General features: G+C 37.9%; 1 annotated feature.

Annotated features, from left to right (window-relative positions):
• Window positions 8380–8960: an enhancer, noted in NCBI's record as "H3K27ac-H3K4me1 hESC enhancer chrX:36489007-36489587 (GRCh37/hg19 assembly coordinates)". NCBI's record gives its function as "activates a minimal SCP1, AML or CMV promoter by ChIP-STARR-seq in naive H9 embryonic stem cells {active_cell/tissue: H9 hESC(naive)}" and the evidence as "EXISTENCE:reporter gene assay evidence [ECO:0000049][PMID:30033119]".

Below are 20679 nucleotides of genomic sequence, written 5' to 3'. Positions count from 1 at the left end.
ACCTTCAGCAAAAGATAATATTTGACCTCCGTCTCCATTCCATGTGATATTTGCCACAGGGAGACAAAATTGGCATGCTGAATGGCCTTGCAGAAGAACAAAGGCTTTCAAAGATTCCTATCATGGCACTCTGGATTGCCCCAGGTGAGAAATGGAAATTTTGTGCTCTCAAATACCTTTGGCCTGGGATCCTTAACTGATGCTGTTGGTGCCATGCCCTTCTACCCTTGGCATTCACCTTAGCACACTAAAGGCAGCTTACTGCAAGCACTTGCTACTCTCTGCCTGAAGGCTTTGTTTGGAGCTAGCTCAGTCTCTGTAGTGGGCAGGACAAAGTGGCCAATAGAGTCAGTACCTCAAGAAGCAGTTTTCAATCAATAATGGGCAGGCCATAAGTCCCCATTGGGCTCAGTGCCAGTTGCTTGAAGTAGAAATTACCTTATAATGTACCATGTATGGCTTCCTCCCTTCCTTGTCTTACTTCCCTAGCCCCTCATGAGTTTCCAGGAAATAACGTCCAAAGAAAATATTTGACTCAGGTTCTGCCTTTGGGGGCCCCACAACACATACTATCATTGAGGTATTTTTAAAGCCTCAAGGGATGGAAGGAACATCCTTGTAGGCCATCTGGCCCAAAGTTAACCATATATAACTTTTCATGGTGACTTTCTTTAGTAAACATGAATTATGCCCTTTAAGGAGAAAAGGTCTCACAAGATGAGCATTCAGCTTAAAAGATATTTGAAAGGAAGAGATTTTGCCTGGTTTGGCCTGCTGGCAGAATGGACTCCACATCTTATTACATGCCATATATGTTTACAAAGGCGAGCTCACATATTTTAAGTACCACTTGTAGAAAAATTTTATCCAATTTCTTGACCCTTGCATCTGTACTTCCTGAGTCATTGCTTTACCTAATTCATCAACAAACTCGGAAAAAGACAGGATTTTTGCCAGCTAACATTTTTTAAACCTTAGGATAACCTTTGAATGGATTCCCTTGAAAAGTTGGGAGTTGCATATTCAGGGAAAGGGGATGAGTCAAGAAAAAAGGAAGAAATACAGATTTGAGTTACAGAAATAGGGAAGTCAACCTTTCCAATGTTTTGTTTCCTTAGGATTTAAGTCATACCTCTTTCCACCAATTATCATTGCCCCTGATGAACCACAAGTCTTTTATATTTGGGTTGGTGTTTTGAGGGGAATATTTCATGGGAAATTTTGTCACAATTTTTAATTTTATCAACCTGATAAATATCCTCAGCTTCTCTTGGTAGCCAGGCAATCCTAAACAAAATTCTGGAATAGAAAAATAAATGCTGTGTGTGCTGAAGTCTATGATATTCCTATCCAATGTCTTTCACAACTCATGGCCCTCTCATTCAAGTACAGTCTTGCTTTCCTACTGTGCTCTTATTTAGACCTACTCTTAGGAAATATCTTAACTTCAATTATTTATAAATCTGTTGCATTAGGTCTTGTAAGAGTGTTTAAGTTCTTCTTAATTATGAAATGGAAATTTTTACTTCTCATTAATGATATTTTGGACCAAAGCATGGAAGTGAGTAATGGTTGTGGGGATGGGTAATTTTCTGCTTAGAAAGTATTAATTCACAATTATCTGTTTATCACCTATCACTAGAGTTTTCCACAGCCATTACTCTATATAATTTATATCTTTAATGGAATCTTAGTAATAACATTCCTTCTGTAATTTTGGTTTAAAGTATCACCATTATTTAACTACGTGGCAAACAGTACATATTTATTGAACCACCAGAAATGAAAAGTGTAGCAAGGATTATCATTTCTTTAAAATTTACCATCTGATTCTTCATAGCCTTTTAAAAACTAATTTTACTTGAGAGTTCATATATTCATTTTTTGAACAATAAAAAGCATCGTAAGTGTTGTCTTCCTGGCCTTTTAGGGGAAAGAATAAAATGGGGTTAGTAGGTCTGCAGGGAAATTAGGTAAACCTAGCAAAGGATATCCACCGCACACTACTATATTGAAAATCTAGGGATCTACATTGGCCCCATGTCTATCCTATGAGGCCAGATGCTAACTTATTTTGAACACAACTTAAGGGAAAAATTTTGAAGGCTGAGGTAGAATGTAGCAATAGAAAAGATTTGATCTCTTCATTGCCATTCTGTAGCATGTATGATTGTTTTTTGATATGTTTTCTTATGCATTATAAGAAAACATTATACTTTTTAATTGATTGTTTTGCTAACCTATTTTATGTTTTATTTCTTAAATTTTAATTAAAATGATAATTAAAATATACTTTTTATTAAGTAACCATAAATGACACAAACAAAGGAAACACATCCCATGCTCATGTATGGGAAGTATTAATAATTTGAAAATGGCCATACTTCCTAAAGCAATCTAGAGATTCAATGCAATTTTCATCAAAATACCAAAATTGTTTGTCACAGAACTAGAAAAACAAACCTAAAACTAGGAACCAAATCCAATCCTAAAACATGGAACCAAAATACAGCCCAAATAGCCAAAGCAATCCTAGGCAAAAAGAACAAATCACAAAAAGAACAAATCTGGAAGCATCAGATTACCAGACTTCAAATTACAGTACAAGGATATAGTTACGTAACAACATGGCAATGGTATAAAAATAGACATTTAGACCAATGGAACAGAATTGAGAACCCAGAAATAAAGCCAAATACTTAGAGTCAACTGGCCTTTGGCAAACCATAAGAAAACACAAACTGGGGAAAGGGCAGCTTATTCAATAAACGGTGCTGGGAAAACTGGCAAGCCACATGTAGAAGAATAAAACTGGATCCCTATCTCTCACCTTACACAAAAATCAACTCAAGATGGATCAAAGACCTAAATCTCAGACCTGAAACCATAAAAATTCTAGAAGATAACTTTGGAAAAACTGTTCAACTCTTCTGGACATTGGCCTAGGCAAAGAATTCATGAATAAAACCTCAAAAGCAAATGCAACAAAAACAAAGTAAATGGGACCTGAATAAGTGAAAAAGCTTCTGCACAACAAAAGAAATAATAATCAGAATAAACAGACAACCTACAGAATGGGAGAAAATATTTGCGAACTACACATCCAACAAAAGACTAGTGTCTATAATCTACAAGGAACTCAAAGAAATCAGCAAGAAAAAAAATAGTCCCAATTTGTTTAAGGGATACATTATACTTTTTAAATAACGCTAGTCATAGTCCTATTATATTAAATAATGTACCCAGCTGCTTTGCATTTAAAAATAAGACATGGTGTCAGTAGTTAGTTCAAGATTCCCATTATTCCCTTTGAACAGAAAAAAAAAGACTGAAATTCTCTCTTAAAAAAGTAGTCCATAATGTTGCCTTTGAACACAGCAGTGTGACTATATGACAGAATTGCTAAACATAAGAAACACTGGTGGTGAATGACAAATAATAAAATTACAAAAAGTCATGACTAAAAGACAAACCATAGATAAAATGCTATCCAATGTCTTCACTTATTTTTTTATTGATTCCTTGTTTTTTTTCACTTGTATTTTAGGTTTGGGGTGTATGTGCAGGTTTGTTATGTAGGTAAACTGCAAGTTATGGGGGTTTGGTGTATAGATTATTTCATCACACAGGTAATCAGCATAGTACCTGATAGTTTTTTGACCCTCACCTTCTTCCTATTGTCTACCCTCAAGTAGGTTCTGTTTTCTGTTTATCCCTTATTTGTGTCCATATGTGCTCAATGTTTAGCTCCCACTTATAAGCAAGAAGAAGTAGTATTTGGTTTTCTGTTCCTGAGTTAGTTTATTTAGGATAATGGCCTCCAGCTCTATCCATGTTGTTGTGGAGGATATAATCTCATTTTTTTTAAATGGCTGCATAGCATTCCATGGTGTATATTTACCACATTTTCTTTACCCAATCTACCACTGATGGACATATAGGTTGATTCCTTGTCTTTGCTGTTGTGAATAGTGCTGCAATAAACATATGTGTACAAACATCTTTATGGTAAAAGCAAATTATATTTCTTTGTGTATATACTCAATGATGGGATTTCAGAGACAAATTGTAATTCTGTATTAAGTTCTTTGAGAAATTACCAAAATGCTTTCCACAATGGCCGAGCTAATTTGATTTCCACCAGGAATGTGTAAGTATTGCCTTTTCTCCACAACATCAGCAACATCTCTTATTTTTTAACTTTTTAATAATAGCCATTCTGACTAATGTGAGATAGTATATCATTGCGGTTTTGATTCACATTCCTCTAAGATTAGTGATGTTGAGCATTTTATCATATGCGTGTTGGCCGCATGTATGTCTTCCTTTGAAAAATGTCTGTTAATGTCCTTTGCCCACATTTTAATGGGGCAGTTTGTTTTTTGCTTGCAAATTTGTTTATGTTCCTTATAGATTCTTGATATTAGATATTTGTTGGATGGTAGTTGGCAAATATTTTCTCCCTTTCTGTAAGTTATCTGTTTACTCTACTGATAGTTTCTTTAATTAGTTGCCATTTGTCAATCTTTGTTTTCCTTGAAATTGCTTTTGGCATCTTCATCATGAAATCTTTGCCAGGTCTTATGTCCAGAATGGTATTTCATAGATTATCTTACAGGGCTTTTATAGCTTTAGGTTTTATAATTAAGTATTTAGCCCATGTTGATTTGATTTCTGTATATGTTGTAAGTAAGGGGTCCAGTTTCAATCTTCTATATATGGCTAGCCAGTTATCACAGCACCATTTATTGAATAGGGAGTCCTTTCCCTGTTGCTTGTTATTGTCAACTTTGTTGAAGATCAGATGGTTGTAGGTGTGCAACGTTATTTCTGGGCTCTTTATTCTGTTCCATTCATCTAGGTGTCTGTTTTTATACCAGTACCATGCTTTTTTGGTTACTGTAGCCTTGTAGTATAGCTTGAAGTGGGGTAATGTAATGCCTCTAATTTTGTTCATTTTGCTTAGGATTTCTTGTCTATTCAGGCTCTTTTCTGGTTCCATATGAATTTTAAAATGTTTTATTTCTAATTCTGTGAAGAATGTCATTGGTAGTTTTATAGAAACAGCACTGAATCTGTAAATTTCCTTGGGCAGTATGGCCATTTTAAAAATATTGATTATCCTATTCATAAGCATGGAATATTATTCCATTTCTGTCAACTCTTGATTTTTTTGAGCAATGTTTTGTAATTCTCATCATAGAGATAATTAACCTCCTGGTTAGTTTTTTTTCTAGGTATTTTATTTATTTGGTGGCTATTGTGAAAGAGATTGCATAATTGATTTAGCTCTCAACTTGATGGTTGTTGGTGTTTAGTGCCAGTCTTCATTTGGGCCTTCACAGCAGCCATCTTCACTTTTGAACTGAGTGATCTGAGGCCCAGAGATAGGTGAAGTAATCCTGATCATCATCAAAAAGTTGCTTGACAATATATTAGCACTGGGTAATGTTCAGTTTTAATATCATAAAACAACATTTGTGCTCTTAAAGTTCTCTGTGGAGTTATTTTACAATTGGCACTGCCAATATATAGTCACAGAGTTTCACAGGTCAAGGTGTTGATATTACTTTTTGTGTTTAAAATGTCTTAAATTTAATAGTATCCCTTAAACTACAATTGTCCAGAGCACATATGAACATAAATAAATCTTTTACAGATCACATTATTTGTTTTTTTTTTCTGACTACTTCCCCTTAAACAACAGTTAGTTGTGTGGGGAATTTCATTTCAGTTGTAAGCATGATGTTATTTATGATAATTAATATTTCAGATTTTAGAGATTTAAGGGCTTTTTAAACAATGTTCAACAACCTGTTTGTTTTCAGCATTCCTGGTTAAAATATAGTGTTATTATATGTGATATTCTATAATAAATGAAGTAAATTTTATGTTCTGTATATCTTTAGATATAAGTAATCATTTGTCACTTTATAGCAGGGCACAGTAGCCTCTTATTGAAAGGGGTAGGTAATATCTCAGGCTTAGCATGCCATGGGGACTCTGTTGCAACTATTCAACTAACTCTGCATTATAGTGCAAAAGTAGTCATGAACATTATGTGAAACAATCATCTGGATCTGTTTTTATAAAATGTTATTTACAAAAACAAGGCAGAGTGAATTTACCCCATAAGTTGAACATTGCTAGCACTTTAGAAGGAAATATATTTTTAGTAGGACAATCAGAATTCATTAATAAATGGAAAATCTCAGCATTGTCTTCCTAAAGTCTTCTGTAAAGATTTATGAATAGGGTAACCTGTCTACACTCTTCTTTATTCAGATATTACTATTGTACCCATATCTCCACCTCAAACTGGGTTCATAAATGAGGTTCGATTCCTTTGTCACCACCTCAATTTGGTGGGATTAATAATTTTTAATCTTATTTTTCTCCACCCCAAACATGTTTCACCTACCATATAAGAATAATGGGAATCATAATTTTGGTGTAAGACATAATTTTTTCAACAATATTACTTTGCTGCTGATTTTCAGCATAAGATGCCTCAGGTTACAAAGAAACTTGATTTTATTTGTAAACCATTATATTCTATCTTTTGAAAAACTATGTCTGTGACATATGCCTCTGAGATACATAATGTGAGTAATTGAAGATGTTATTTTACTATTGTTAAGCAAAGAGTATAAATATAAACACCATATGTCATACCTGAATATTAAAGAAAGCAAAAAACATATTCATTGGCTAGATGTCTCATTTATTGTAGCAGGATTAATTCCATTGTAAAGGTGTTAACTTGTAGGTATTATTCAATTGTTTATCTTAGGAAACAAATTGAAATTGCTAAAAACAAACTATTTTTATTACGTTCTTTACTGTCAAATAAACATAATTACTATTTAAAAGCCATTTTTTTCATAAATGTAGAACATTCTGATTAGGGCCATTTTATGTAGAAGCACAAATACATACTTGGTGAGGCGGAATCTAAAATATGTAAGATGAATTAATGCATGTAGAGATCTGGGAACATAAACCCCAAACCTTGGAAGGTTATTTCTATTTTCTAAATTAAAATTTATTACTTGTCCCATAATATAAAGACAGTTTTCTTGTAAGAATTTCCAAAATAAGATACTTTCCAGTGCTTAGAATGGGTATACTATTCTGGTCCCACATGAAAGATGAAATGTGAAAAAAACACAGGTATCCCTGAGTCAGTGGTTATATTAAAACTGGGATGTGCCTCATAAAGTAGCTACAGTGGTTATTCAACTGACTTGGTCATGCACTAAGTGACAGTCTATGTATATTATATTCAATAATCAGATGCACAGAGAGGACTATATTAGAACCTTCTACCCTCAACCAATGTGTGATTCCTAATCTTTTGAATAGTTTGATGCCAACTGAATTCACTGGTGGCATAAGATGTCTGATTCCTACACAGCAGAAAAGACCTGAAAGACTTGTGGATACTTTCTCCTTAAAAAGTAAGCCAACCTAAGCCAACCAACCAACAAAAAATGAATACATGAATATTCTGATTCTGAACTGTATACCTTTCTATGAAATTGTAAAGAGCGGTGCAGTAGATGACAGTGAGAATATGTAAAGCCTGTTGAAGTATTTGTTAATATTTCTGTCCATTTTGTAATTGTGTTTTTCTTTTCTTTTGCACTTTTAGTGTTCTTTGTCTAATGTCTTTTTCCATACCAGTGTTTCACACAATTACCAATATCACGAGCCTCTCAATTGGAATATGTATGTTTCAATCCATTTTCTTGTTGCTATAAAAAACTACTGAGACTGGGTAATTTATAAAGAAGGGAGGTTTAATTGGCTCACAGTTCCAAAGGCTGTATGAGGAACATGGCTGGGGAGGACTCAGGAAACATACAATCATGGCAGCAGGTGAAGGGGAAGAAAGGCATGTCTGGAGCAGGAGGAAGAGAGTGAAAGGGGAGGTGCTACAAACTTTTAAACAACAAGATCTCATGAGAACTCCTTCATTATCATGAAAACAACAAGGGGAAAATCTGCTCCCATGATCCAATCACCTCCCACCAGGCCCCTCCTCCAACACTGGGGATTACAATTTGACATGAGATTTGGGCGGGGACACAAATCTAAACCATATCAATGTCTTCTGTTTGTCTCACAATTAGACTGGGATTTTGGGTTTGGGAGAGGAAAATCACAAAGATAAATTTTCATTTTATCACATCAGATCAACAACTGTTATGATTATTGATATTACTATGTTTCCCTTGTTTCTTTTATTGTATGTATTTATTGTGTAAAATATGAATTTTAAAATATGTATACATTGTGAAATAACTAAGTCACACATACATTACCTCACATACTTACTATATTTTGTGGTGAGAACACTTAAGATCTCTCTTAGTGATTTTCAAGAATACAATGCATTGTCATCAACTACAGTCCCCATGTTTCACAAAAGAACTCTTGAACCTATGCCTCCTGTATAAGTGAAATTTTGTATACTTTGACTAACATCTCCTCAAAATCTGCTCCACCCCAGCCCCTAGTGACCACCATCTACCCTTTACTTCTATGAGTTCAACTTTTTTCGATTCCATACGTAAGTGAAATCATACAATGTTTACCTTTCTGTACCTGGCCTTTAATGTCCTCCACGTTCATCTATGTTGTCAAGAATGACAGGATTGCGGGGGGGAGGAGCCAAGATGGCTGAATAGGAACAGCTCCGGTCTACAGCTCCCAGCGTGAGCGACGCAGAAGACGGGTGATTTCTGCATTTCCATCTGAGGTACCGGGTTCATCTCACTAGGGAGTGCCAGACAGTGGGCGCAGGTCAGTGGGTGCGTGCACCGTGCACGAGCCGAAGCAGGGCGAGGCATTGCCTCACTTGGGAAGCGCAAGGGGTCAGGGAGTTCCCTTTCTGAGTCAAAGAAAGGGGTGACGGACAGCACCTGGAAAATTGGGTCACTCCCACCCGAATACTGCGCTTTTCCGACGGGCTTAAAAAACGGCGCACCACGAGATTATATCCGGCACCTGGCTCGGAGGGTCCTACGCCCACGGAGTCTCACTGATTGCTAGCACAGCAGTCTGAGATCAAACTGCAAGGAGGCAACGAGGCTGGGGGAGGGGCGCCCGCCATTGCCCAGGCTTGCTTAGGTAAACAAAGCAGCCGGGAAGCTCGAACTGGGTGGAGCCCACCACAGCTCAAGGAGGCCTGCCTGCTTCTGTAGGCTCCACCTCTGGGGGCAGGGCACAGACAAACAAAAAGACAGCAGTAACCTCTGCAGACTTAAATGTCCCTGTCTGACAGCTTTGAAGAGAGCAGTGGTTCTCCCAGCACGCAGCTGGAGATCTGAGAACGGGCAGACTGCCTCCTCAAGTGGGTCCCTGACCCCTGACCCCCGAGCAGCCTAACTGGGAGGCACCCCCCAGCAGGGGCACACTGACACCTCACACGGCAGGGTACTCCAACAGACCTGCAGCTGAGGGCCCTCTCTGTTAGAAGGAAAACTAACAAACAGAAAGGACATCCACACCAAAAACCCATCTGTACATCACCATCATCAAAGACCAAAAGTAGATAAAACCACAAAGATGGGGAAAAAACAGAACAGAAAAACTGGAAACTCTAAAAAGCAGAGGGCCTCTCCTCCTCCAAAGGAACGCAGTTCCTCACCAGCAACGGAACAAAGCTGGATGGAGAATGACTTTGACGAGCTGAGAGAAGAAGGCTTCAGACGATCAAATTACTCTGAGCTACGGGAGGACATTCAAACCAAAGGCAAAGAAGTTGAAAACTTTGAAAAAAATTTAGAAGAATGTATAACTAGAATAACCAATACAGAGAAGTGCTTAAAGGACCTGATGGAGCTGAAAACCAAGGCTCGAGAACTACGTGAAGAATGCAGAAGCCTCAGGAGCCAATGCGATCAACTGGAAGAAAGGGTATCAGCGATGGAAGATGAAATGAATGAAATGAAGCGAGAAGGGAAGTTTAGAGAAAAAAGAATAAAAAGAAATGAGCAAAGCCTTCAAGAAATATGGGACTATGTGAAAAGACCAAATCTATGTCTGATTGGTGTACCTGAAAGTGATGGGGAGAATGGAACCAAGTTGGAAAACACTCTGCAGGATATTATCCAGGAGAACTTCCCCAATCTAGCAAGGCAGGCCAACGTTCAGATTCAGGAAATACAGAGAACGCCACAAAGATACTCCTCGAGAAGAGCAACTCCAAGACACATAATTGTCAGATTCACCAAAGTTGAAATGAAGGAAAAAATGTTAAGGGCAGCCAGAGAGAAAGGTCGGGTTACCCTCAAAGGGAAGCCCATCAGACTAACAGCAGATCTCTCGGCAGAAACCCTACAAGCCAGAAGAGAGTGGGGGCCAATATTCAACATTCTTAAAGAAAAGAATTTTCAACCCAGAATTTCATATCCAGCCAAACTAAGCTTCATAAGTGAAGGAGAAATAAAATACTTTACAGACAAGCAAATGCTGAGAGATTTTGTCACCACCAGGCCTGCCTTACAAGAGCTCCTGAAGGAAGCACTAAACATGGAAAGGAACAACCGGTACCAGCCGCTGCAAAATCATGCCAAAATGTAAAGACCATCAAGACTAGGAAGAAACTGCATCAACTAACGAGCAAAATAACCAGCTAACATCATAATGACAGGATCAAATTCACACATAACAATATTAACTTTAAATGTAAGTGGACTAAATGCTCCAATTAAAAGACACAGACTGGCAAATTGGATAAAGAGTCAAGACCCATCAGTGTGCTGTATTCAGGAAACCCATCTCACGTGCAGAGACACACATAGGCTCAAAATAAAAGGATGGAGGAAGATCTACCAAGCCAATGGAAAACAAAAAAAGGCAGGGGTTGCAATCCTAGTCTCTGATAAAACAGACTTTAAACCAACAAAGATCAAAAGAGACAAAGAAGGCCATTATATAATGGTAAAAGGATCAATTCAACAAGAAGAGCTAACTATCCTAAGTATATATGCACCCAATACAGGAGCACCCAGATTCATAAAGCAAGTCCTGAGTGACCTACAAAGAGACTTACACTCCCACACAATAATAATGGGAGACTTTAACACCCCACTGTCAACATTAGACAGATCAACGAGACAGAAAGTCAACAAGGATACCCAGGAATTGAACTCAGCTCTGCACCAAGCGGACCTAATAGACATCTACAGAACTCTCCACCCCAAATCAACAGAATATACATTTTTTTCAGCACCACACCACACCTATTCCAAAATTGACCACATACTGGGAAGTAAAGCTCTCCTCAGCAAATGTAAAAGAACAGAAATTATAACAAACTATCTCTCAGACCACAGTACAATCAAACTAGAACTCAGGATTAAGAATCTCACTCAAAACCGCTCAACTACATGGAAACTGAACAACCTGCTCCTGAATGACTACTGGGTACATAACGAAATGAAGGCAGAAATAAAGATGTTCTTTGAAACCAACGAGAACAAAGACACAACATACCAGAATCTCTGGGACACATTCAAAGCAATGTGTAGAGGGAAATTTATAGCACTAAATGCCCACAAGAGAAAGCAGGAAAGATCCAAAATTGACACCCTAACATCACAATTAAAAGAACTAGAAAAGCAAGAGCAAACACATTCAAAAGCTAGCAGAAGGCAAGAAATAACTAAAATCAGAGCAGAACTGAAGGAAATAGAGACACAAAAAACCCTTCAAAAAATTAATGAATCCAGGAGCTGGTTTTTTGAAAGGATCAACAAAATTGATAGACTGCTAGCAAGACTAACAAAGAACAAAAGAGAGAAGAATCAAATAGATGCAATAAAAAATGATAAAGGGGATGTCACCACCGATCCCACAGAAATACAAACTACCATCAGAGAATACTACAAACACCTCTACGCAAATAAACTGGAAAATCTAGAAGAAATGGATAAATTCCTGGACACATACACTCTCCCAAGACTAAACCAGGAAGAAGTTGAATCTCTGAATAGACCAATAACAGGAGCTGAAATTGTGGCAATAATCAATAGCTTACCGACCAAAAAGAGTCCAGGACCAGATGGATTCACAGCCGAATTCTACCAGAGGTACAAGGTACCATTCCTTCTGAAACTATTCCAATCAATAGAAAAAGAGGGAATCCTCCCTAACTCATTTTATGAGGCCAGCATCATTCTGATACCAAAGCCAGGCAGAGACACAACAAAAAAAGAGAATTTTAGACTAATATCCTGGATGAACATTGATGCAAAAATCCTCAATAAAATACTGGCAAAATTAATCCAGCAGCACATCAAAAAGCTTATCCACCATGATCAAATGGGCTTCATCCCTGGGATGCAAGGCTGGTTCAATATACGCAAATCAATAAATGTAATCCAGCATATAAACAGAGCCAAAGACAATAACCACATGATTATCTCAATAGATGCAGAAAAAGCCTTTGACAAAATTCAACAACCCTTCATGCTAAAAACTCTCAATAAATTAGGTATTGATGGGACGTATTTCAAAATAATAAGGGCTATCTATGACAAACCCACAGCCAATATCATACTGAATGGGCAAAAACTGGAAGCATTCCCTTTGAAAACTGGCACAAGACAGGGATGCCCTCTCTCACCACTCCTATTCAACATAGTGTTGGAAGTTCTGGCCAGGGCAATTAGGCAGGAGAAGGAAATAAAGGGTATTCAATTAGGAAAAGAGGAAGTCAAATTGTCCCTGTTTGCAGACGACATGACTGTATATCTAGAAAACCCCATTGTCTCAGCCCAAAATCTCCTTAAGCTGATAAGCAACTTCAGCAAAGTCTCAGGATACAAAATCAATGTACAAAAATCACAAGCATTCTTATACACCAACAACAGACAAACAGAGAGCCAAATCATGAGTGAACTCCCATTCACAATTGCTTCAAAGAGAATAAAATACCTAGGAATCCAACTTACAAGGGATGTGAAGGACCTCTTCAAGGAGAACTACAAACCACTGCTCAAGGAAATAAAAGAGGATACAAACAAATGGAAGAACATTTCATGCTCATGGGTAGGAAGAATCAATATCGTGAAAATGGTCATACTGCCCAAGGTAATTTACAGATTCAATGCCATCCCCATCAAGCTACCAATGACTTTCTTCACAGAATTGGAAAAAACTACTTTAAAGTTCATATGGAACCGAAAAAGAGCCCACATCACCAAGTCAATCCTAAGCCAAAAGAACAAAGCTGAAGGCATCACACTACCTGGCTTCAAACTATACTACAAGGCTACAGTAACTAAAACAGCATGGTACTGGTACCAAAACAGAGATATAGATCAATGGAACAGAACAGAGCCCTCAGAAATAACACTGCATATCTACAACTATCTGATCTTTGACAAACCTGAGAAAAACAAGCAATGGGGAAAGGATTCCCTATTTAATAAATGGTGCTGGGAAAACTGGCTAGCCATATGTAGAAAGCTGAAACTGGATCCCTTCCTTACACCTTATACAAAAATCAATTCAAGATGGATTAAAGACTTAAACGTTAGACCTAAAACCATAAAAACCCTAGGAGAAAACCTAGGCATTACCATTCAGGACATAGGCATGGACAAGGACTTCATGTCTAAAACACCAAAAGCAATGGCAACAAAAGACAAAATTGACAAATGGGATCTAATTAAACTCAAGAGCTTCTGCACAGCAAAAGAAACTACCATCAGAGTGAACAGGCAACCTACAAAATGGGAGAAAATTTTCACAACCTACTCATCTGACAAATGGCTAATATCCAGAATCTACAATGAACTCAAACAAATTTACAAGAAAAAAACAAACAACCCCATCAAAAAGTGGGTGAAGGACATGAACAGACACTTCTCAGAAGAAGACATTTATGCAGCCAAAAAACACATGAAAAAATGCTCATCATCACTGGCCATCAGAGAGATGCAAATCAAAACCACAATGAGATACCATCTCACACCAGTTAGAATGACAGTCATTAAAAAGTCAGGAAACAACAGGTGCTGGAGAGGATGTGGAGAAATAGGAGCACTTTTACACTGTTGGTGGGACTGTAAAGTAGTTCAACCATTGTGGAAGTCAGTGTGGCGATTCCTCAGGGATCTAGAACTGGAAATACCATTTGACCCAGCCATCCCATTACTGGGTATATACCCAAAGGACTATAAATCATGCTGCTATAAAGACACATGCACATGTATGTTTATTGTGGCACTATTCACAATAGCAAAGACTTGGAACCAACCCAAATGTCCAACAATGATAGACTGGATTAAGAAAATGTGGCACATATACACCATGGAATACTATGCAGCCATAAAAAATGATGAGTTCATGTCATTTGTAGGGACATGGATGAAATTGGAAATCATCATTCTCAGTAAACTATCGCAAGAACAAAAAACCAAACACCGCATATTCTCACTCATAGGTGGGAATTGAACAATGAGATCACATGGATACAGGAAGGGGAATATCACACTATGGGGACTGTTGTGGGGTGGGGGGAGGGGGGAGGGATAGCATCGGGAGATATACCTAATGCTAGATGACGAGGTAGTGGGTGCAGCACACCAGCATGGCACATATGTATACATATGTAACTAACCTGCACAATGTGCACATGTACCCTAAAACTTAAAGTATAATTAAAAAAAAACAATAAAATAAAATAAAATAAAATAAAATTACTAAAAAAAAAAAAGAATGACAGGATTGCTTCTTTTTTAAGGCTGAATACTATTCCAATGTAAATATATGTACCACATTTTCTTTATCAGTTCATCTATTGATGGACACCTAGTCTGATTCCATATCTTGGCTATTGTGAACAATGCTGCAATAAACATGGGAGTGCAGACATCTTTTTTACATGCTGACTTCATTTCTTTTGGTTATATGCCCAGTAGTGTGATTGCTAGATCATATTGTTAAAGTTAATTTGGATCACTTGATTGAAGTAATATTTGTCAGGATTCTTCACTGTAAAGTTACCCTTTTGTCCCCCTTCCCATACTGTACTCTTTGAAGGAAATCAATATGGGCAAGCCACACTTAAGAAATAGGAAGTTATGTTCTATGTCTTTGAGGATGGAGTGTCTACGTAAATAATTTGGAATTCTGCATGGAAGATTTATCTATTTTTCGATTCTCTTTGTAATTCACTCCTCCTGTAGCCAGCTGCAAAGTTCTCCTCAGTGGCAGGAAAGAATGGGCCCTTACTGTGCAGAGTGGACTCTGGGCAAAGAGGCCAGCTGAGGCTCTGAGATCAAAAACTAGCCCAAACAGATATTTAGAGAAAATTATCTAATTCCAGGATCCAAGACTTCGAATCATCAAGTCTTCTTCTTTCTAATGTCACAATAGCCCAGTTCCTTAAAATTTGACCCCTGGAGAGTTTGTGTTTTCCCCCAGTGGAACCCCACAAACCATACTCTCATTTTTAAAAAGGAAACCTGCTTTATGTTACAGATTATTTCTCCTTAATTTGATAAGAATAATTTTCAGAATTCTGGGACAGAAGGTGGGTAATACCCCTGAATTTGTCTGTTTGCTGCCTCAAAAAAACAGAAATAGAATCCTATTATTTATAATATTTCATGTAACTTTGGGGCTAATAATATAGGTTTTCTCTGAAAATAGACCACTGCTCACTAAAATTATTCCCCGGTGCCGGAAAAATATGACTCTTATCATTCCCATGGTACATCTCAATCTTTCTTTTCAAAAGTTTGGGAATCAAGCCTTTCTGAAAAGAAAGTCAAGTCCCTAACATACTAAATAGATTTATTATTTGAAGCCAAATATGCCCTTCGTCCCATTTAAACTACAGAGATAACTTTAGCAAGTGCCGTAAATAAAGGATTCTAAACTGTAACATCTATACAAATCTTCTGCATATTTTGTTAACTTGTAGATTCTGATTCAGTGGGTCTGGTATGGGGATGGAAATTCTGCATTTCTAATAAGTTCCTAGGGAATGCTGGACCATGCACCACACTTTGACAAGCAAGGGGCTAGATACCCTGAGTGGACAAATTTATTCTGGTCAAAGCCCTGGCAGGAATGAACTAGCTCAACCTTTATCCCCTTCCATTCTCTGTTTAGCTTGACGTGAGCAAAAGTGACCCATTTTGAGATTAAACTACACAGTTCTGCTATAGATTTAGGTGCTCTGAGGCAGAACCAAATAGAATAATTTTTTGTGAGCTTTGCAGAGAGTTTGGGCTAACTCTGCCTGTGGCCCAAATTGCCACATTTAGCTTTTTGCATGTAACTTGCTTTGAATTGGTCAACACCAATGTGCTTTCCACCTCCTCCCTTTCCTGCTCCCAGATTCACAAACAACTCAAACATCTTACCCAGCACCCCAGGCCACACACTTTTGGAAAATCTAGCATACACACACAAATGGAGAAGCAAACTGCAAGTTGTGTTTGAGGCCTGTTACCTGCTTTTCTCCCATTTCAGTTGAATTTATTGGACACTTGTACAGGGAAGCCCAGGCTTTTTGATTGCTCTATTCTGAAAACAACAACAACAGCAACAACGACAAAAGATAACTAGGCTGGAGAGGCAACTGCCTGTACAAATAGTCTTCACTCTGATTGGGGTCTTTCTAGAGCATATTGTAGTTGCAACACTGTGCTGGTGAGCATGACAGTGTCATGCTTAGTTGTAGCAAATAAAACAAAATAATGATGGAAAAAATCGAAAAGGCTGCTAAGACATTTCCCCCACCACTAGAAGAAGAGGGGCTATGCCATGAAAACTTAGTTGATGGGCCTTATAAAACATTTCATTAGAGGCCAAGTTGGTAGCTAATAGAACTCAGTTCCTCTAACATAGTGTGTCACCTTAAGGGACCTGCAGCACAGGTGATTACACCAAGACATGAGGAGAAGCAAGAGAAGAGGCAGGTATCATTTACAAAGGCTCCTACTAGAATGGCCCTACTTATAAATAAGCAATGATACCTGCCTGACTTTCTCTGTGTACTCCGCAAGGGATGTCATGAGGAATGGTGCTTCGAGGTGACATAATCTACAGGATATACACTGCCCACAGCACCAAATTGCTGTTAAGAATGGACATTTCTAGCTACTATTGAAGGAAAACGCCAGAGCCTTTTAATTTCCTGAGTATTATTAGTGTGAGCCTGAAAATTACTGACAGCCAGTCAGAACATTGTTTGCGTTCTTTGCTCTCTGGGCACTTCTTAATTATGAATAATAATTCCATTAATTATGCACTTGAAACAAGTAAATTATCCAGAAGAATATCATAATCAGTTGTATAAAAGAGCCTTCCAGGAACCTCTATGCTGCTTTGTTTTTAACTTCTACATTTGCAGCTCTCCCAGGGAGCTTCAGAAAGTCAGGAGTTAAGAGGCTTGGCTCCTAGCACTGAAAGGCATCTATCAGTGAAAGGCTTTGCAAATGAAGCCACATCCTATAAAAGAATTGGTTGTTATTCACCTTTTTAGGCTTACTTTAGGCCTTCTGACTTGCCAGACTTACCCTTTGGGTTACCACCAGGGCATGCTACAGACTGACAGTGAGCATTTCCTCTCCTTTTCAGAGCTTGCAAAGCACATGTCCTTCCTTCCTTCCTTCCTTCCTTCCTTCCTTCCTTCCTTCCTTCCTTCCTTCCTTCCTTCCTTCCCTTCCTCCCTCCCTTCCTTCCCTCCTTCCTTCTAGCTTTTCTTGACACATGAATACTTGGTTCCATCAATTTGTAACACATCTTGCTCTCAGCATTTGCTGTGTTGTGCTGAAAAGCAGGTTATCTTTCTGGGGATGTCACTGGTGAGGCAAATCCCAGAAAATGGTCAATCTATTTTTTTTTATTAAGGTAACATTTCTTCTTCTCAATTTTGTTTTATTTGTATTATCCTTTACCAATAGGAATTGTATTCCTTCTTTCATAAAAAATAGACAAATTAATTGATTTCAAAACCAGAGCCAGATCCATCAGCAAAAGCAAGTGATACAAAAGCTCTATATATTGACATTAAGTGAGGGGGAAAAGGTAAACCTCTGGATAATTAGTCATTCTATTAAATACATTTACTGTGATCCTCCATGGCAGCAGGTGCTACACTAGGCTCTTAATTTTGTGTGTGGGGGGTGAGATTACAATGAAAATATATAAATAGCTGGACAAAGTGGCTCACACCTGTAATCCCAACACTTTGCGAGGCCGAGGTGGACAGATCACTTGAGGCCAGGGGTTCAAGACAAGCCTCGCCAACACAGCAAAACCCCATCTCTACTGAAAATACAAAAATTAGCCAAGCATGGTGGCACATGCTTGTAATTCCAGCTCCTTGGGAGGCTGAGGCACGCGAATCAGTTGAACCCATGAGGCAGAGATTGCAGTGAGCCAAGGTCACGCCACTGCACTCCAGCCTGGCTGACAGAGTGAGACTCTGTCTTACAAAAATAAATAAAGAAAATATATAAATAAGAATAAAAGATAGTACTCTTTGCCAGGGAATCCACACTTCATTTTATCAAAATGAAACTGAAATGTGACACAGAATCTGGCCAAGTCCTACAGTGATTCTTGCTCCATTTGTACTAAATTGGCCCTTCTGAAGAGTTGAGCATCCTGGATGTCCAGATGTTTGTCTATATAGAAGTGGTTGTTGAGTATATAATGAAGCACCACAAAAAAGTATCACACTTGTACAATTAAACGAAAAGCTATGAATACAAAATTGAATACACAATCAGTGATGGGAGCCAGGGATATGTGCAGTTAAGATCTCATTTCAAAACAAAACTCACTCTTCAGCTTCAAGGAGTGCAATTGGCTGACAGCGTCCAGCTGCATGACCTTCAAGATCTACTACAGTTTTCCAGCTGATGCCATGCTCTTCTTGGACAGTCTTCAGTCAATGACTATGCAACATGGGGTTACTAAGGCCTGGCACTTCTGCCCAATGCATGGGTACTCTAACAAGCAACCTAGCTCTTCAGCTCCTCTCTGGGTAAGCTGAGACTTGTCAGATCTGAATTTTGAACTAAGCCCCTCTCTGCCCAATCCTGATCCCTCCTGCATTGTATCTTTTTCAGGCATCATCCCACAAGGAACTTCTTGTAATAGCAAAATTTATTTGATTGGCCAAGCTTTGGTCAGGCTTCTGAAACTTCTGCTGAGCCCATCTGAGCACTTCTCTGTAAAATTCAGTTTTAAGGGTGATTCCTGCTAAGTCAAGAACTCCTATTGTTGATATCTGATCATCCTTGATATCTGATCAGGTTCATCTTTCTCCACTGTCCCCCAAGTGATGTTTTACCACTCTGGCCTGTCTTCAGCAGGGATCCTGTTAGATCAGTTTAGCCAGAATATCTTTTACCCCTGATGTTTCCTTTGTTTTTCTTTTCTGCTTATTATATTTGATTCAGGGAGTACATGTGAAGGTATATTCCATAATAGTGGGGTTTAGGCTTCTACTGAACCTACCACCTAAGTAGTGAACTTAGTACCCTCTAGTAGTTTTTCAACCCTTTACCCACTCTCTCCTTCTTTGGAGTCCCGTGTCTATTATTTCCATCTTTGTGTTCATGTGAATCCATTATTTAGATCCCATTTATAACTTAGTACATGTGGTATTTGATTTTTGTGTTTCTGTGTTATTTCTCTCAAGATAATGGCCTCCAGTTGCATCCATGTTGCTGCAAAAAAAACATGATTTTGTTATTTTTATGGCTGCATAGTACTGCATGGTGTTTATGTATCACATTTTCTTTATTCAATCCACCATTGATGGACACATATGGTAATTCCATGACTTTTCTATTGTGAATAGTGCTACAATATACATGCAAATGCAAGTGCCTTTTTGATAGAATGATTTATTTTTCCTTGGGTAGATACCCAGTTGTGAGATTGCTGGGTCAAATTGCAATTCTATTTTTAGTTTTTTGAGAATTCTCCAGAGTGTTTTCCATGGGGCTGAATTAATTTATATTCCCCCAAACAGTTTATAAGCATTCCCTTTTCTCTGCCTCCTCGCCAACATCTGTTATTTCTTGGCTTCTAAGTAATAGCCATTCTGACTGGTGAAGATGATATCTCATTGTGGTTTTAATTTGCATTTTCTGATAATTAGCAATGTTGAGCACTTTTTGTTTGTTGGCTACTTATATGTCTTATTTAAAAAGTGTCCATGTCCTTTGCCCACTTTTTAATGTGGTTTTTTTTTTTGTTTATTTAAGTTCTTCATGTATTCTAGGCATTATTCCTATGTCAGACACATAGTTTGCAAATATTTCCTCCTATTCTATAGGTTATCTATTACTCTGTTCATTGTTTCTTTTGCTGTGCAGAGCTCTTTAGTTTAAGTGGGTCTCATTTCTCAAATTTTATTTTTGTTGCATTTGCATTTGGGGTCTTAGTCATAAATTATTTGCTTAAACCAATGTCCATGAGAATTTTCCTAGGTTTTCTTCTAGGATTCTGAGTTTATGGTCTCATATTTATGTCTTTCATTCATCTTGAGTTACTTTCTGTATATGGTGAGAGGTAGAGGTCCAGTTTCATCCTTCTGTATATAGCTAGCTAGTTATCCCGGCACCATTTTTTGAAAAGGGTTTCCTTTCCCTATTGTACATTTTTGTTGACTTTGTCAAAGATCAGTTG

This window comes from Homo sapiens, chromosome X (genome assembly GCF_000001405.40).
Source record: "Homo sapiens chromosome X, GRCh38.p14 Primary Assembly".
NCBI classification, from domain to species: Eukaryota; Metazoa; Chordata; class Mammalia; order Primates; family Hominidae; genus Homo; species Homo sapiens.
Note: the sequence above shows the minus strand (reverse complement) of the source record. Positions and strands in the feature narration are given on the sequence as shown.